Raw genomic sequence first — 16,112 nt, 5'->3', positions numbered from 1 at the left:
CATAAATGTAATGCCTGTTGGGATTTACATAACATCAAAATATACTTGCTCAGGGACTTCATAGAACATTGGAAAAACCATCAATAAGAGGTGGTTTTCCTCAACAGGTCTTTATTGTAATTGAAATTGCTTGATTTCAGAAAGGAGATGCCTGAGGCAACTGCAACATATCCAAGTAAAGAGAAAATGTATGCCAACTTTCAAAGCATGAAAGAAATCATTCCTTCTTCTGTTTGGTAGGAATACATCAAGAAGTAATACAATATTAAACACTTTTGGTCTCCTTTTACTTATAAACAAAAGGATTGATGAATAAACTTTGAAAACCAAACCTGTTTCTGAGTAGAAAAGCTCCTAGATTAGAAAATTTTGCAAATGCTTTTTCACTTCAAATATAAAGCTGGTCTCTCACAGCAGTGACCTAACTTGAGAGAAGAGAGACTGGATCTTACCATTCTTTGTTTTCCTAAAGTGTTTGTAAGATAGCACATCTTTGATATGTGCTTATTATTTGCTGACTGTGTGAAAGGAATAGTCCTTTATACAGCTTGGAAGGAAAGAGCCCAGAACAAAAACAGTAAGGTTCTGACATATTTAAAGTACAGGATGTTCAGGCAAGGGAGTGAAAGTACATTAGGTTTGTTTTCAATTCATAAATCATCTAGTTCCAAAAGATAATTCTGTACGTTTTGGTTAGTTTAAGAAAGACAAATGCTTGACTATGGGCAGCATATAATCTTTTGGAAAAAAACGTTTCATTTGATTGTTCCCAGGCTTTCAGTTGAGAATTTTCCAAGGTGAAGTCACCTTCTTGCTGTGGTCTGCAGCTGTAGAAAGTCTGAAGTTAGAGTCTTTGACCAAACTCATTATTTTTCCTGCCAATGATCCTTTAGAGGATTTAACAAAACTTCAAATTTCACTAAAGAATAAAGGGAAATACAGTACAAGGTAGAGGAGCCCAAATCTTTGTTAAAGAGAAATTATTTTTATTGTGATTAACTCTTCTCAGACACTTAACTTTTCCAATCCAACCAGAAAGAAAGAATGGGAAGAAAGATTCATGAGACCACTGCTAACCCAACCCTTTTCTTCTTGTTTCTGAAAAAGCAAGATTTAGGAGGCTGCAGCCTCAGCTACCAGGCCATTGGCTTCTAGTCACTGTGTGAAAGTCAAAGCCTTTCTCCCAACTATAGGTCCTCTTCTCTTTTTCCCTGTCTCCCTGCCAAGCAAGTGGTGTGTGTGTGTGTGTGTGTCCACTAAAGGACTGGTTCTCAGCTTGTGGTGATTTTGTCCCTTTTCCCTCAAAATGTATGACAATGTTTGGAGACATGTTTGATTGTCACATCCTGGTACCTTACTGGTTTCTCATGGGTAAAGGCCAAGGATGCTGCTAAACATCCTATAAATGCACAAGGTAGCCCACACCACAACACATTACATGGCTCCAAACCCTGATCTGAAGGTTTAGATATGGAGGCCTCACTGGTCATTAATAGGTGTATGGGGAAGCTTCAGGTAAAGAATAGGTGGATACTCCAAACTATTTCTGGTAAAACTGTAAGATTTACGAGGTGGATAGGTACATGGACTTTAGAGCTAGAGCCAGAGACCTGGGTTCACAGTGTAAACTCTGCCACTCAGTAGCAAGGTGTCACTGACAAGTTACTTAACTTTTCTGCACCTATTAGGGAAATATAATTAAAAACAGAATCTCCTGTATTAGTCTGTTTTCGTGCTGTTGTTAAAGACATACCTGAGACTGGGAAATTTACAAAGAAAAGAGGTTTAATGGAGAACTCACAGCTTCAAGTGGATGGGGAGGCCTCACAATCATGGTGGAAGGGAAGGAGGAGCAAGTCACATGTTATGTGAATGGCGGCATGCAAAGAGAGCTTATGCAGATACACTCCCATTTTTAAAACCATCAGATCTTGTGAGACCCATTCACTATCACGAGAACAGCATGGGAGAGACCCGCACCCATGATTCGATCATCTCCTACCACGTCCCGCCCACAACACATGGGAATTATTGGAGCTACAAGATGAGATTTGGGTGGGGACACAGAGCCAAACCATATCACCTCCAAATCCAGAAAACCTCTTTACAAAGGTGGAAAAGTAGGAAACAACTTCACTACTGACTCAGCATTAAACCAGAATGCGGCCAGGGGTGGTGGCTCACGCCTGTAATCCTGGCACTTTGGGAGGCCAAGGCGAACTCCTGAGGTCAGGAGTTCGAGACCAGCCTGGCCAACATTGTGAAACCTTGTTTCTACTAAAAATGCAAAAATTAGCCAGGCATTGTGGTGGGCACCTGTAATCCCAGCTACTCGGGAGGCTGCAACAGGAGAATCGCTTGACCCCAAGAGGCAAAGCTTGCAATAAGCTGAGATGGTGCCACTGCACTCCAGCCTAGGTTACAGAGTAAGACCCTGTCTCAAAGAAAACCCAGAAAGGTAAAAACAAAAAACGAGAATGTGATGTGTATCACAGACAGGCAACCTGCTGAAGGGGTTATAAAGAAAGCAATTTCATTCTTTTATATAGCCAAGTGGATCCAACCCATTACCTTGGGTAGGTTTTGCCATTTGAGTCAGGTGACAGGTAGGCCTATCTCTTCCCAGGACACAGGGAGACTGGCTGTTATCTTCCTTGATTATAGTTCAAAGAGAAGCCTCTCAGATACTTCAGGAAACATTCCTGAGTATTGACACTGGCCAGAGGTTTAGTTAGCCATTAAAAAGGTTTACATACATTTGACAAGGACAGAGAAAGAAACTCTGAAGAAAAGGAAAGGGTGGGATGCTCCTTCCCTTATTTTCAACAGGGAGAATTAAGCCTTATTTCTAATTTGCATTTATCCTCAGATCCCTCAAGTGATTTGCCTATAAAAACAGGGTGTTGGCTGGGTGCGGTGGCTCACGCCTGTAATCCAGCAGTTTGGGAGGCCAAGGCAGGCGGATCACCTGAGGTCAGGAGTTCAAGACCAGCCTGGCCAACATGGCGAAACCCCATCCCTACTAAAAATACAAAAAATATTAGCCAGTGTTGGTGGTGGGCGCCTGTAATCCCAGCTGCTTGGGAGCCTGAGGCAGGTGTATCGCTTGAACCCGGGAGGCAGAGGCTGCAGTGAGCCGAGATTGTGCCACTGCACTCCAGCCTGGGCAACAAGAGCGAAACTCCTTCTCAAAACAAAACAAAAAAAATAAAAACAAAACAAAAAAAGAACAACAACAACAACAACAACAAAAACGGGGTGATAATAATGGTCCCTATTTCTTAGAGCTGTTGTAAAGATTAAAGATTATATGAGTTAACATGTGTATAGGGCTTAGACCAGTGTTTGGCACTCAATAAATGTTTGCTATTAATATGCTGCTTTAAGGCAAGCCCTGGTGATAGCCAGGGTTTTAAGATGTCCCCATGATTCCTGTCCCTGGTATATATGTCTTGTATAATTCCCTCCCATCTTGTGTGGGCAGAAGCTGTGAAGATGAAGGCATATTACTTTATGATGAGGTTACTCATCAGTTGACTTTGAGTTCATAAAAGGGAGATTATCCATTAAGCCTGAGTGAGACAGGGCTCATGGAGGAGGCCACATGCCCAGGAACTGCCGGACAGCCTCTAAGACTTGGGAGCACCCCAGGTGCATGGTCAGTGAAAGAACTGGAGCCTCAGTTTTGCAATCACAAGGAACTGAATTCTGCTGATCTCCAGAAAGGAATGCAGCCTGGCTGACACCTTTATTTCAGTTGTATGAGACCCTGAGCAGAAGCTCCAGCACATCTGGGCCTAGACTTTGACCTCCAGAAACCTCAGAGTGAGCCTCTGGGCAGCCTTTTGCTCAGTTTCCCTTCTGTAAAGTTAATAAATGGAAGTCGAGAATAACTAGGCGGTTGTTTCCTGCAGTTCTGAATTCTGTAAGGATCCCAAAGAGTGAGTGCTGGAGGAACAGGAGTGGCTTTCTAAAAGAGACCATTTCAAACCTGAGTACACTGGCCTGAACTTTCACCTCCCCTTTGATATTCACGCTTTTGGTGTTCCCAAGAAGGCAGACTGAGATTCGTGTTCAGCAGGGCTCCAAACACTTGGTGGGTTTGGCTCAAAAATATCTTATTTACAGATACCTTTTTCTCTTAGAAGTTTAAATCACTTGAAATGCATGTAATTAATCTTAATGAATAAAGACGGGCTTTATCAGAGATCAGAGGGCTCTGGAAGGCTACTGACATTCCCAAGAACACGCTCTCAGGCACTAGCTGACTCCCAGCAGTGGTGAGCCTCATATCAGGTCCTTCAGCTTCAGGAGCGTGTTAAGATGGAGATGCACTCATCACCACTGGGCTCTCTTAGAGATTCTGATTAGAAAGATGGGTCCCAGGAAATTGCATTTTTAGCAAGCACCTACGACAATTCTGAAAGCAAGATGTTTGTGGGCTGAACTATGAAAAACTCAAGGCTTAAAGGAAGCATCACCAATAGCAAGTTAGAGATTAACTTAAAGGATCAGGAAGGGTTGCAGCAGGAAGCAGACTCCAACTCCTGTGACTGAATAAAGAATTTCAGTGAAGAAATTATGAGCATGTGGGTAGGTTTAAAGGAAACAATAGGGGTTGTTAAAGCATTCAGAGACTGGCAATAGCTGGAAATCATCACCGTCCATAGGGCTGAAGGAACAAGGGGAATGTAATAGTGTCACTAAATTCCATTAAGCAATGGGGCTGATGAGGACAGGCCCCCAACAAGGGCTGTAGCCAAAAAGGGATGCAGCAGGTGCCAGAGACAGGGAGGGTGCATAAAAACAGGGAGGGTCAAACAGGCCAGGCACCTACAGTGGTAGAACCCAAATGGAAGCCAGCCAACAAGGGAGCCTGAATGAGCAATTCCAAGGGGCAGTTTCTCTGGGCACTAAACAGGGCAGAGAAGGGCAGGCAGGGGTGGCAATGGAAAATCATCAGCATATTTCAAATCTTAAGAACAACATCACCAACATGAAGAATTGCTGGACAATTAAGGGAGTGAGTAGACCAAAAGGGAAGTCATCTCTACTACCACTACTGCTGAGAGCATCAGTTATAGGAGACGGCCAAGGCCAGGCGTCTTGGAATCAGGAGGGGATGTGGAGGTATAAAGTGTTGGGGAAGGAGAAAGGAAGATGGCAGGGCAGGGCTGTGGTGCTGCGAACCTGACAGATTAGCCTTTTTCAGTCAGCCCTGAAAACCATAAGAAATACACCTGAAAGTACTGTAACAGCCTTCCCAAGACATTCTGAGTAGCACTCACTGTCCTGAGCACCAATTCAGTGTCTTTCTTTGCTGATAGCATTGCCAAAGCTCACTGCTGCCCCCTGGATAAAACAAACCAACTTAATGAACACTTGAAGCTCTCATCATAAATTGTCTTATTATGATGAATCAGGAAGCATCTAATTTCCTCCCTAGATTATGACCACCATTAAGAGGATAGCCAATTAAAAACATTATGTAACTGGATCACATATGTCAGTTCATAGTACAGCTGAGATGTAGAGAAAAGGGGATTTCTTTATCTTTTGTTTAACTAAATTGGCCCTCCCAAGCTTCCACCAGTTCAACCTAGTTGAGATAGTGAGGTCTAGGTGAAAGCATGGAAAAGAACGTGACTTGCTGGTTCCATGTTGTGCTGACGGGATATGGATAGGCCCTGGGCTCATGACAGTTCACAGGTTGCGCTGACAGGAATCCGTGTATCTGTAGCAGCCAGCCCCTTGTCCAGAGCTGCTGCCCTGTTGCTCTTCAGGGCTGAAACCTGCAGCTGGTGGTCTCCAGCTCCAGCAATGTTCTTAAAAAGAACTCGACACTCATTTCCTGATCTCTGCTTCTCTTCAACTCAAATGAGCTCTAGCCCTTTGGGTTTCTGCTGCCTCCATCCCTTGGCTTGGCTGTCCATCCTGTGCTGTGGGGTCACCTTGCTTTGTCTCAGCAGACCCTGTGGCAAGTCCTCTGGCTTTCATCTCAGCATCCAGACCCTGTGGCAAGTCCTCTGGCTTTCATCTCAGCATCCAGTGGGGCAAGAGAATGAAGGGAAGCTCCAGATTGCCAGCTAGCTTGCCAGCTAGCTCTTTCTGTCTGCTCATGTCCTTCCACCCTCTTAAGCACCTGATGATCACATGTGGGTGTGGGCCTGTCTTCACTGTAATCCTCTCCCTACCATCCAAATGGGCATTTATGGCAGCCCGTCTCCTGGGTGATCCTCTCAATGTATCCAAAAAATATACAGTTGATCCTCATTATTTGTAGATTTGCCTATTTGCTAAAATTTATTTCTAACCCCCAAATCAAAACTTGTGCTTTTGTATCATTCATAGACATGCATGATGTGGTAAAAAATTTGAGTCACTCATGCACTTTTCCAGTTGAGGTCGCACCAGGTGAGGCTCTGCCTTTTTGTTTCAGCTCTCATCCTGTAAACAAAAGTCCTTCTGCCTCCTTAGTTGCCCATGTTTTCATTTTTGTGGTTTTTTCTTTGTGACTTTACTGTTTCAAATGGCTCCCCGCCATAGTGCAGAAGTGATGTTTGGTGTTCCTAAGCTGAAGAATGCTGTGATGACCTTACAGAGAAAAGACGTGTTATGGACTGAAGGTTTGTGTCCCTGCAAATTCATATGTTGAAGGTCCAGCCCAAGTTTGGCTGTATATGGAAATGGGGTCTTTAAAGAGGTTTTAAGGTTAAAAGAATGGGCCTTATCAGGTTATTGGGGGGGGGGTCATAAATTGGGCCCTGATCTGATAAAATTAGTGTCTTTATAAAAAGAGCTTTCTCTCTCTTCTGCCCACCCTGCCCATCTCCCCCCTTCAGAGGAAAAGCCATATGTGGACAAGGCAACTGTCTGAAAGCCAGGAAGAGAGCCTTTGCCAGAAACCAAACCTGTGGGCACCTTGATCTTGGAGTTTCTAGCCACCAGAAGTTTGAGAAAATAGATTTCTGCTCTTTAAGCCACAGAGTCTGTGGAATTTTATTAGCTCAGCCCGGGCAGATTGAGACAACATGTCTTAGATAAGCTACAATCACACATGAGTTATAGTGTTACTGGCCATGAGTTCAGTGCTACTGAGTCAATAATATCTATTAAGTAAGGTGTTTAAAAATAGACACACACATAAAACAAGATTATATACTGATCGATTAATGAATTAAAAATACTTACTCCCTGTTAAGAGAAGGAAAAAGTTGCAGACCGGGAGGAAATATTTGCAAGAAGATATATCTGGTAAAGAACTGTTATTCAAAATATACTGACATGGTTTGCATCTGTGTCTCCACTCAGGTCTCATGTTGAATTGTAATCCCCAATGTTGGAAGTGGGTCCTGGTGAGAGGTGATTGGACCATGGGAGTGGATTCTAATGGTTTGGCACCATCCGCCTGGTGCTGTCTCATGACAGAGTTCTCAGGAGATCTGGTTGTTTAAAAATGTGTGGCACCTCCCCCTTGTCTCTCTTCCCCCTGCTCTAGCTCTATAAGATGTGCCAGCTTCCTCTTTGCCTTCTGCCATGATTGTAAGTTTCCTGAGGCCTTCCCAGAAGCAGAAGCCTATACAGCCTGCAGAACCATGGGCCAGTTAAACCTCTTTGCTTTATAAATTACCCAATCTGAGGTATTTCTTTATAGCAGTGTGAGAATGAACTAATACATGTATAAAGAGCTCTTAAAATTCAATAAGAAAACAAATAACCTGCTGAAAAAGAAGGGCAAAAGACATGAATATAGACCTCATAAAAGAAGATATACGAATAGCAAATCAACGTATAAAAAAATGCTCCACATCATATGTCATCAGGGAATTGCAATTTAAAACAACAATGCAGGCCGGGTGCGGTGGCTCATGCTTATAATTCTAGCACTTTGGGAGGCTGAGGCAGGTGGATCACCTGGGGTCAGGAGTTTGAGACCAGTCTGGTCAACATGGTGAAACCCTATCTCTACTAAAAATACACAATTAGCCGGGTGTGGTGGTGCATGCCTGTAATCCCAGCTACTTGGGAGACTGAGGCAGGAGATTTGCTTGAACCCAGGAGGCGGAGGTTACAGTGAGCCGAGATCATGCCATTGCACTCCAGCCTGGGTGACAGAGCAAGACTCTGTCTCAAAACGAAAACAGGCATGCAGGCATCTTTCCCTCTGTCTATGTACATGCATGTATACATACCTCCAGCCTCTACCCACACATGTATAAGAATTCTTTTAAAGGGATCATACTTAGAGGGATTGTGCTACTGCACTCCAGCCTAGGCAAAAAGAGCAAAATTCCATCTCAAACAAAAAACAAAACAAAACAAAACAAAAAAACAGTGTGATACCGCTACATGCCTATTAGAATGGCCAAAGTCTGGAACACTGAAAACATCAAATGCTTGTAAGGATGTAGGGCAACAGGAACTCTCATTCATTGCTGGTGGGAATGCAAAATGGTACAGCCAGTTTGGCAGTTTTTTTTTTTACAAAACTAAACACTCTTACCATATGATCTAGCAGTCTCACTTCTTGGTACTTACCCACATGAGTTGAAAACTTATGTCCACACAAAAATCCTGCACGTGAATGTTTATAACAGCATTATTCATAATTGCCATAACTTAGAAGCACTCAAGCTATCCTTCAGTAAGTGAATAGATAAATCGTGTGTATTTGCTCAGGCCAATATAACAAAATAAAACAGACTGAGTGGCTTAAACAACAAAAATTTATTTTCTAACAGTTCTGGCAGTCAGAAGTCCAAGATCAAGGCCTCAGACGATTTCAGTTCTGGTGAGGGCTCTCTTCCTGGATTGCAGATGGCTGCCTTCTTGTTAAGTCCTCACATGGCCTTTTCTTGAGAGAGCAAGCTCTGTGGTATCTCTTCTTATAAGAACACCAGTCCCAGCTGGGTGTGGTGGCTCATGCCTGTAATCCCAGCACTCTGAAAGGCCAAGGTGGGTGTATCACCTGAGGTCAGGAGTTCGTGACCAGCCTGGCCAACATGGTGAAACCACATCTCTACAAAAAAAAATACAAAAAATTAGCTGGGCACAGTGGCGGGTGCCTGTAATCCCATCTACTCTGGAGGCTGAGGCAGGAGAATGGCTTGAACCCACTTGACGGAGGATGCAGTGAGCTGAGATCATGCCACTGCACTCCAGCCTGGGTAACAGAGTGAGACTCCATCTCAAAAAAAAAAAAAAAAGAACACCAGTCCCATCCAATGAAATCCCTATCATAAGACCTCATTTAACCTTAATTACTCCCTTAAAGGGCCTTATCACCAAATATAGTCCCATTGAGGGTTAGGGCTTGAACATATGAATTCTGGGAGGACACAATTTGATCTAAAACCCTGTGGCACACCCAGACATTAGAAAATTTGTCAACATTAAAAAGAAAGCAGCTGTGAAGCCATGAAAAGACATGGTGGAATCTTAAATGCATAGTACTAAGAGAAAGAAACCAATATGAAAAGCTCCATGCTGTATGGTTCTGATTATATGACATTCTGGAAAAGGTAAAAAGTAAACTATGGAGACAGTAAAAAGATCAGTCGTTGCCGGGGTTAGGGAGAAGTGAGGGATGAATAGGCAAAGCACAGAGAATTTTTAGGGCAATGAAAATACTCTGTATAATACAATATTATAATGGTGGATGTATGTCATTATGCACTTGCCACAACTCATAGAATGTAAAACACCAAGAATGAACCCTAACGTAAACCACGGATGTTGGGTGATTATGCGGGCTCATCAATTGCAACAAACATACCACTCTGTGAGGGATGTTGATAGTTGGGGAGGCAGTGCAGGGAAAGGGGCAGGGGCAGGTGGTAAATGGTAGTTCTCTGTATTTCCTGCTTTACTTTGCTGTGAATCTAAAATTGCTCTAAAAAATAGTCTATTTAAAAAGAAAAAAAATGCTGTGAACAGAGGCTCACAGGAACACAACTGTGTATTTCTCTTGAGAACAATAGTTTAGTATTTGTTAATTCAGTGTTTGTGGTGGAGGGAAAGAATAATTTTTTTCTTTAATCCCCATAGGTTCTGGCCCCATAACAAAAGACAGATTAGCAAGAGAAAAACAAACAAAAGTTTATTAACAGATAAATTTCATATGTACATGGGTGACACCCAGGTAATGAGTAGTTCTCAAAGGGGTGGTTTTTAATTCCAGCTCACATAGCATTTTCATCAAAGAACACTAAATTTTTAGAAAAGTGACAGGACAAAGGAAAAGGATTTTGAGTCTCTAGGGGTGGCAGTTTGGGGGAAGGCAAATTAATGGCAGATGAAGGCCAGTTAGTAAAGCCCTTAATGTAGATTCCTCTGATACCATTTTCAGGCCAATAAGGGTCCAAAGTTGTGTTCAGTGTTTACCTTTGTTCTCCCCAGTGGGGGCAGGGAGGAAGGAAGATGCCTTTTATCTTTGAAAAACTATGTCCTGCTTTTAGGTCAACAGAGAGAGGGTAGAGAGCTTTCCTGTATCCACTTCTTAACTGTTTCAGCTCAACAATTCTTCATATTTGGGGATGATGTGTTCTGGTTTCCTACAGCAGTGACCGTGATGAGTATAACTATGGAAAATAACAAAAATTTGCTGGATATACTCCTACTCTAGGCCAAAAGTCAGGAAAGGACAAATGGGACATTCATGTGGCTCTCCTGCCTCCCCCACCTTCCTCCTTTTCTTCCCACTTCTCTGGGGTCCAAAAGAAACAGTCCCCTTTCGCCACCTCACACACTGGCCTTCACTAACCCACTTCCTGTTCTTGAATTACCTTATCAGAACTCTGTGATCTGGTTGGTCAGGCAAACTTGTCTGTAAGCTAAAGAGCAGATAAAGACACAGAAACAATCTTTTGTCAAGGTATTCGGCAAGTTTATGAAGCTAATGTCATGCTGCAAAGTCCTATTATGGAATGCCGGAATGTGATTATTATCTTCTAGTTCACTGGATTCCTTCTCTAACAATCCCCTTAATCTCCCCTGTATCCCTCCTTACTTCTAGATATTCCAGGCCAATGAGGGGAAATTGATGTACTGGCCAAGCAAGAAGAGCAAAGTTCATTAATCATTTGTAACAAGTAGTCCTCATTGTCCCTGAAAGCCTCATAGAGCAGAGCTCTGTACCCTGAACGTGATAGGGGCTCAGTGAAAGACTGCACTCAGTCGGAAGCTATCAAGAACTACTACGTGGTTGCCACACCTCCAACCTACAGGTGTTGATTAGTATCTTTTTTCTTTCCTTCTTCCTCCATCGTCACACCTTAGTGATCCTGCAGCCAAATATTCCTTTACGTAAAAAACCCCCACAAATACACAATCATCATGGTGACTGACGCCTTCTCTCTCCTATTCTGAAGCTCTGCCCCTCCCAAGAGACACCGACTATCACCAAACCACACGGTTTGCAGGTTTTCATCAAATATCTTCATATCCTTTTGGAATGTAGGTGGCACTTGGGGAAATGCTCTCTAACAACTTGCAATGAGACTGCATTTGATGAGTGAAATTCAGAAAGGAGCTTGCCAGACTAGCACAGCCATAGAGAGTAACTCTATTGAATGACTACTGGTAAACTTAACAGAACATAGGAACACAGAGAAAAAAGAAATGTCAACCAGATAGGGAATTAATCAGCAGCAGACACAGATGACAAAAAGACCCATAAAAGCATGTGGCTGAAAAGAAGATACTCTGTCAGTGACTATGTATTTGGTTTGTCTGGCAAGTCTATCTATAATTTAGAAATGGGCTGGGCGCAGTGGCTCACACCTATAATCCCAGCACTTTGGGAGGCCGAGGCAGGTGGATCATGAGGTCAGGAGTTCAAGACCAGCCTGAACAACATGGTGAAACCCCGTCTTTACTAAAAATACAAAAACTAGCCGGACATGGTGGTGTGCACCTGTAGTCCCAGCTACTCAGGAGGCGGAGGCAGGAGAATCACTTGAACCCGGGAGGCAGAGGTTGCAGTGAGCCAAGATTGGGCCACTACATTCCAGTCTGGGGGACAGAGCAAGACTCCATCTCAAAAAAAAAGAAAGAAAGAAAGAAAGAAAGAAAGAAAGAAAGAAAGAAAGAAAGAAAGAAAGAAAGAAATGGACATAACAGGCCATCAGGGTCTAATGCCATTGTGCCCTCATTACCTTTCTTGGCACTCCATGCCTAACAACCAATCTAGCTGGGCGTGGTGGCTCACATCTATAATCCCAGCACTTTGGGAGGCTAAGGCAGGTGGATCACTTGAGGCCAGGAGTTTGAGACCAGCCTGGCCAACATGGCAAAATCTCGTCTCTACTGAAAATACAAAAATTAGCTGGGTGTGGTGGTGCACGCCTGAGTCCCAGCTACTTGAAAGGCTGAGGAATGAGAATCACTTGAACCCGGGAGGCGAAGGTTGCAGTGAGCCTACATCATGCCACTGCACTCCAGCCTGGGTGATGGAGTGAGACTTTGTCCCAATAAATAAATAAATAAAATTAAACAAAAATAAAATTAAATAAATTAACAACCAACCTTATGTTAATGTAGCTTGTTTAAAATAAGAGAATGGGCTACTCAGACCACCGTGAGTGTAAAATTCTCAATTTGCATTCTAGCTTTATACATCATTATCTTGTGGGCTTTGAGTGAGTCAGCATTTCCAGTCTAGCCAATCCTGGTGCACTTACAACATCATTTCTGCACCTACAAAATTATGGACCAGATTTTGGAGAGCAACAAGTTCACCAAGGTAATTGCCAGTTTGCGGGGTCTGTCTGGGGGTCAGTGAGTCTTCACATTATTCTCTAACACTTCTTTATTTTGACTGACCATGTCGGGGCTCAGCAATTTTTAGGTAATGCAAGAGAATGATGTTTCCTTTGTTAGGTGGTTCTACTGCTTCTCATTGCCAGTCTGGTTGGAAATACCCTGGGGGCCTTGTTATCCCACAATACTGGATACTTCTGCTTCTGGTGAGATGAAGCTCTCAAGAGTAATGTTTGTAAAATACAGAGTAAACTTATTTTAAAAATTACCAATACTTTTACAACTGTAGGAAAAAAGTTTCTGGGGAGTTTGAGCTTAAGAGGAACTTCTATCCCCCGTCCCAACCCTCCCACCCAGTTTCTCTATCTAGATCAGAGAGGGGGTACACACACTATAAATGTGGGATTTATATTCTAAGTTTTTCCATCTTGCCGTGTATCAAGAGGTGGCAATAGGTCAAAGAGTACGTTAAGTTGTTTCACTTTGACAGTTGGCAGAAACTACTATGTCTACCTTCAAATTAAACTTGAAAACAAATTTTAAAATATGTCCAAAATCATGGTTGATTGGCTTGGCCATTTTCTAGCAACTTTTCTTCATTTCTGGACAAGTACCAGTGCCATGCTTGTGTATTTTGCCCTGGTGCCATGAGGACACTTGAGCCGAGCACAGCCAGTTTTTATTCCTGAACAGTGCATAAGAGCACTCTAGCAGCGAGTGTTAACCACACACATCTTAAATAGGATTTGGCTTGCAATGTGATTCTGACCTGATAACAGGCATCAATCCTATAAGGTTCTTCATCTGTTATATAACTCAAGTCAGCCTCATTCTTGATAATGTGACTCTGGTTGTGACATTCATCTATTCTCCCCAGAGATTTCACTTGGATTTTCTTGGCTAGCATTTGTGGGAGCAAAAGAAACTCTGCTGCAGTGAAAGAAAATGCATTTATGTTTTAGATTAACATTAGAGTCTTGAGTTTTTAGACCTAACGTGTAAGTTGTTTGTCTGCCTGTCTCTATCCAGTCCCAAGGACATGTGAGAGGGAATCGGAAATGATTAAAGTGGATTTGGTTGGATCGGTGAGTCAGAGACCTTGGAAGTCAAGTTCAAATCCCCAACAGGAAGCTGTAGATGGGCAAGGAGGAGACACCTCTCAGTAGATATCTCTGCATTGCTTGTCTGTCTATGGGGTGGGCATTGTCTACTCTAGATTCATCCTCAGGCAAGGAGGCTAATGTTTCTCATATGACACAGTCACATCCTAACCCTTGAAGATTGGAAAAAACAATGCATAGCTTTTTTGGTTTGGGGCACTATTATTGAATGTTTAATATTTGACATCATCAACTTGAGTACTAAAGTGTATGGATCAAAGGGCTGGATGTGGTGTATTCTAGTATAGTACATAACCTCCCGTAAGCTGCAGGTTGAGAAAACAAGAAGTACTCTGACTTCTGCCAAGCTCAATCATTTGTAACATCCAGCGAAAAAGGATGGTATGTGAATGCAACTTTGGAATATCATGGGCAACTACTTAAAAGAAGTAACTTGTGAAGAAGGTGCTTAACAGGAGAAGTTAGGCAGCTTCTGGGCTTTACAAACAGTGCTATATGGAAAAATGAACAGAAGCAACACTGAACAGACATTGGTGAAGCAGAGCCCCAGCAATTTCCACAGCCTGCACGTGCCTATAGCGGCAGAAAACACAGACGTCCAGTCCTGGAAGAAGCCAAGCTCAGGCCATGTCTTCTGGAAGGGATGATTCTGGGCAGATTGCCTGGCCCACTAGGCTTAGCATTGGTTTGCTGAGCAAGAGGTTTGGTCCCAGAAGAGATGACCAATGAAACGCAATAAAGTCTGTTATCCTTTGCCCTGGGGCCAAGGCTTAAAGAAAGCTGTGCCATCTTTCAAAGTAGGAAACCAAGCACCTTCTGGGATAGTTTGTGGGGCCCCTCCACCTTCCATTCTGTTTCACATTGCTTGCAGCAGCCCCACATCCTCTCAGGCCGCCAGCTGTAGAGGAACTGTCAGGCTTCCAAAAACTAGTTCAGATTGGGTCTGAATTCCCCCAGGAAGTACAGCCTGTGTGTGTGTGTGTGTGTGTGTGTGTGTGTGTGTGTGTGTGTGTGTGTGTATGAGGGGTGGGGTGGGGAGGAGGCGACTATTACCCATCATTTGCCTGAAAGACCTAGTTCCTGGAAAAAACCCCGAGGAAGTAGGTGGCCTGTTGTTAGGGAACTTGGAGAGAGATAAACTCACTTTGTTGTGGAGCATTAGGTTGTAAATTACTCATTGGCAGAGAACATGCCTTCAGTTCTCAGTGCCAATGCATTTAAGGTAGACGATGCAGAAGGCTACAGATTTTCTTATTGTTGACCGAATTTTGTTGTTGAAAATAAATATACAATGAAGGCTCTCTCACTACCACCATCACCACACACACACACACACACACACACCTGAACACAAACAGGCATCACTGTAAACAAGTGCACGCCACCTCCCCCTACCCCCATACCACCATCCACACTCTTGGTTCACAAGAATCCAAGGTTACATAAACATATTCTTCAAATTCACATTTTGGGATTCCTCATGTTTTATTTTATTTTCAATTAAATGCACCCATGTTAAATGTACAATTCAGCAAGTTTTAACAAATACAGGCACCAAGTAACCACCATAACAAACAAAATATAGAACATTTCCATCACCCTAAAATGTTTCCTCATGCCCTTTGATAGTCAATCCTCTCAGCTCCCCCCAGGTACCAGGCAGCCACTAATCCACTTTCAATCAATACAGATTAGATTTTCCCATTCCAGATTTTCACAGAAATAGAATTATGCAGGTTATCACAGACACCTTTTGGTGTCTGGCTTTTCTTTACACAGCATAATGTTTTCAAAATGTTAAGATTTATGTTGTTGCATAAACTTGTAGTTTATTCCTTTTTTTTTTTTTTTTTGAGCTGGAGTCTCGCTCTGTTGCCCAGGCTGAAGTGCAGTGGTGCAACCTCGGCTCACTGCAAGCTCCACCTCCCAGGTTCTTCTCCTGCCTCAGCCTCCCGGGTAGCTGGGACTACAGGTGCCCGCCACCATGCCCAGCTAATTTTTTGTATTTTTAGTAGAGATGGGGTTTCACCATGTTAGCCAGGGTGGTCTCGGCCTCCTGACCTCGTGATCCACCCACCTCGGCCTCCCAAAGTGCTGGGATTCAGGCATGAGTCACCACGCCCTGCCAGTTTATTCTTTTTTACTGCAGAGTAGTGGCTTGCCATTGAATGGATATACCACAATTTATTTTTCCATTTACCCCTTGATGACTATTTGTCTTGTTTTTAGCTT

This window comes from Homo sapiens, chromosome 6 (assembly GCF_000001405.40).
Source record: "Homo sapiens chromosome 6, GRCh38.p14 Primary Assembly".
Taxonomy (NCBI): domain Eukaryota; kingdom Metazoa; phylum Chordata; class Mammalia; order Primates; family Hominidae; genus Homo; species Homo sapiens.
Note: the sequence above shows the minus strand (reverse complement) of the source record.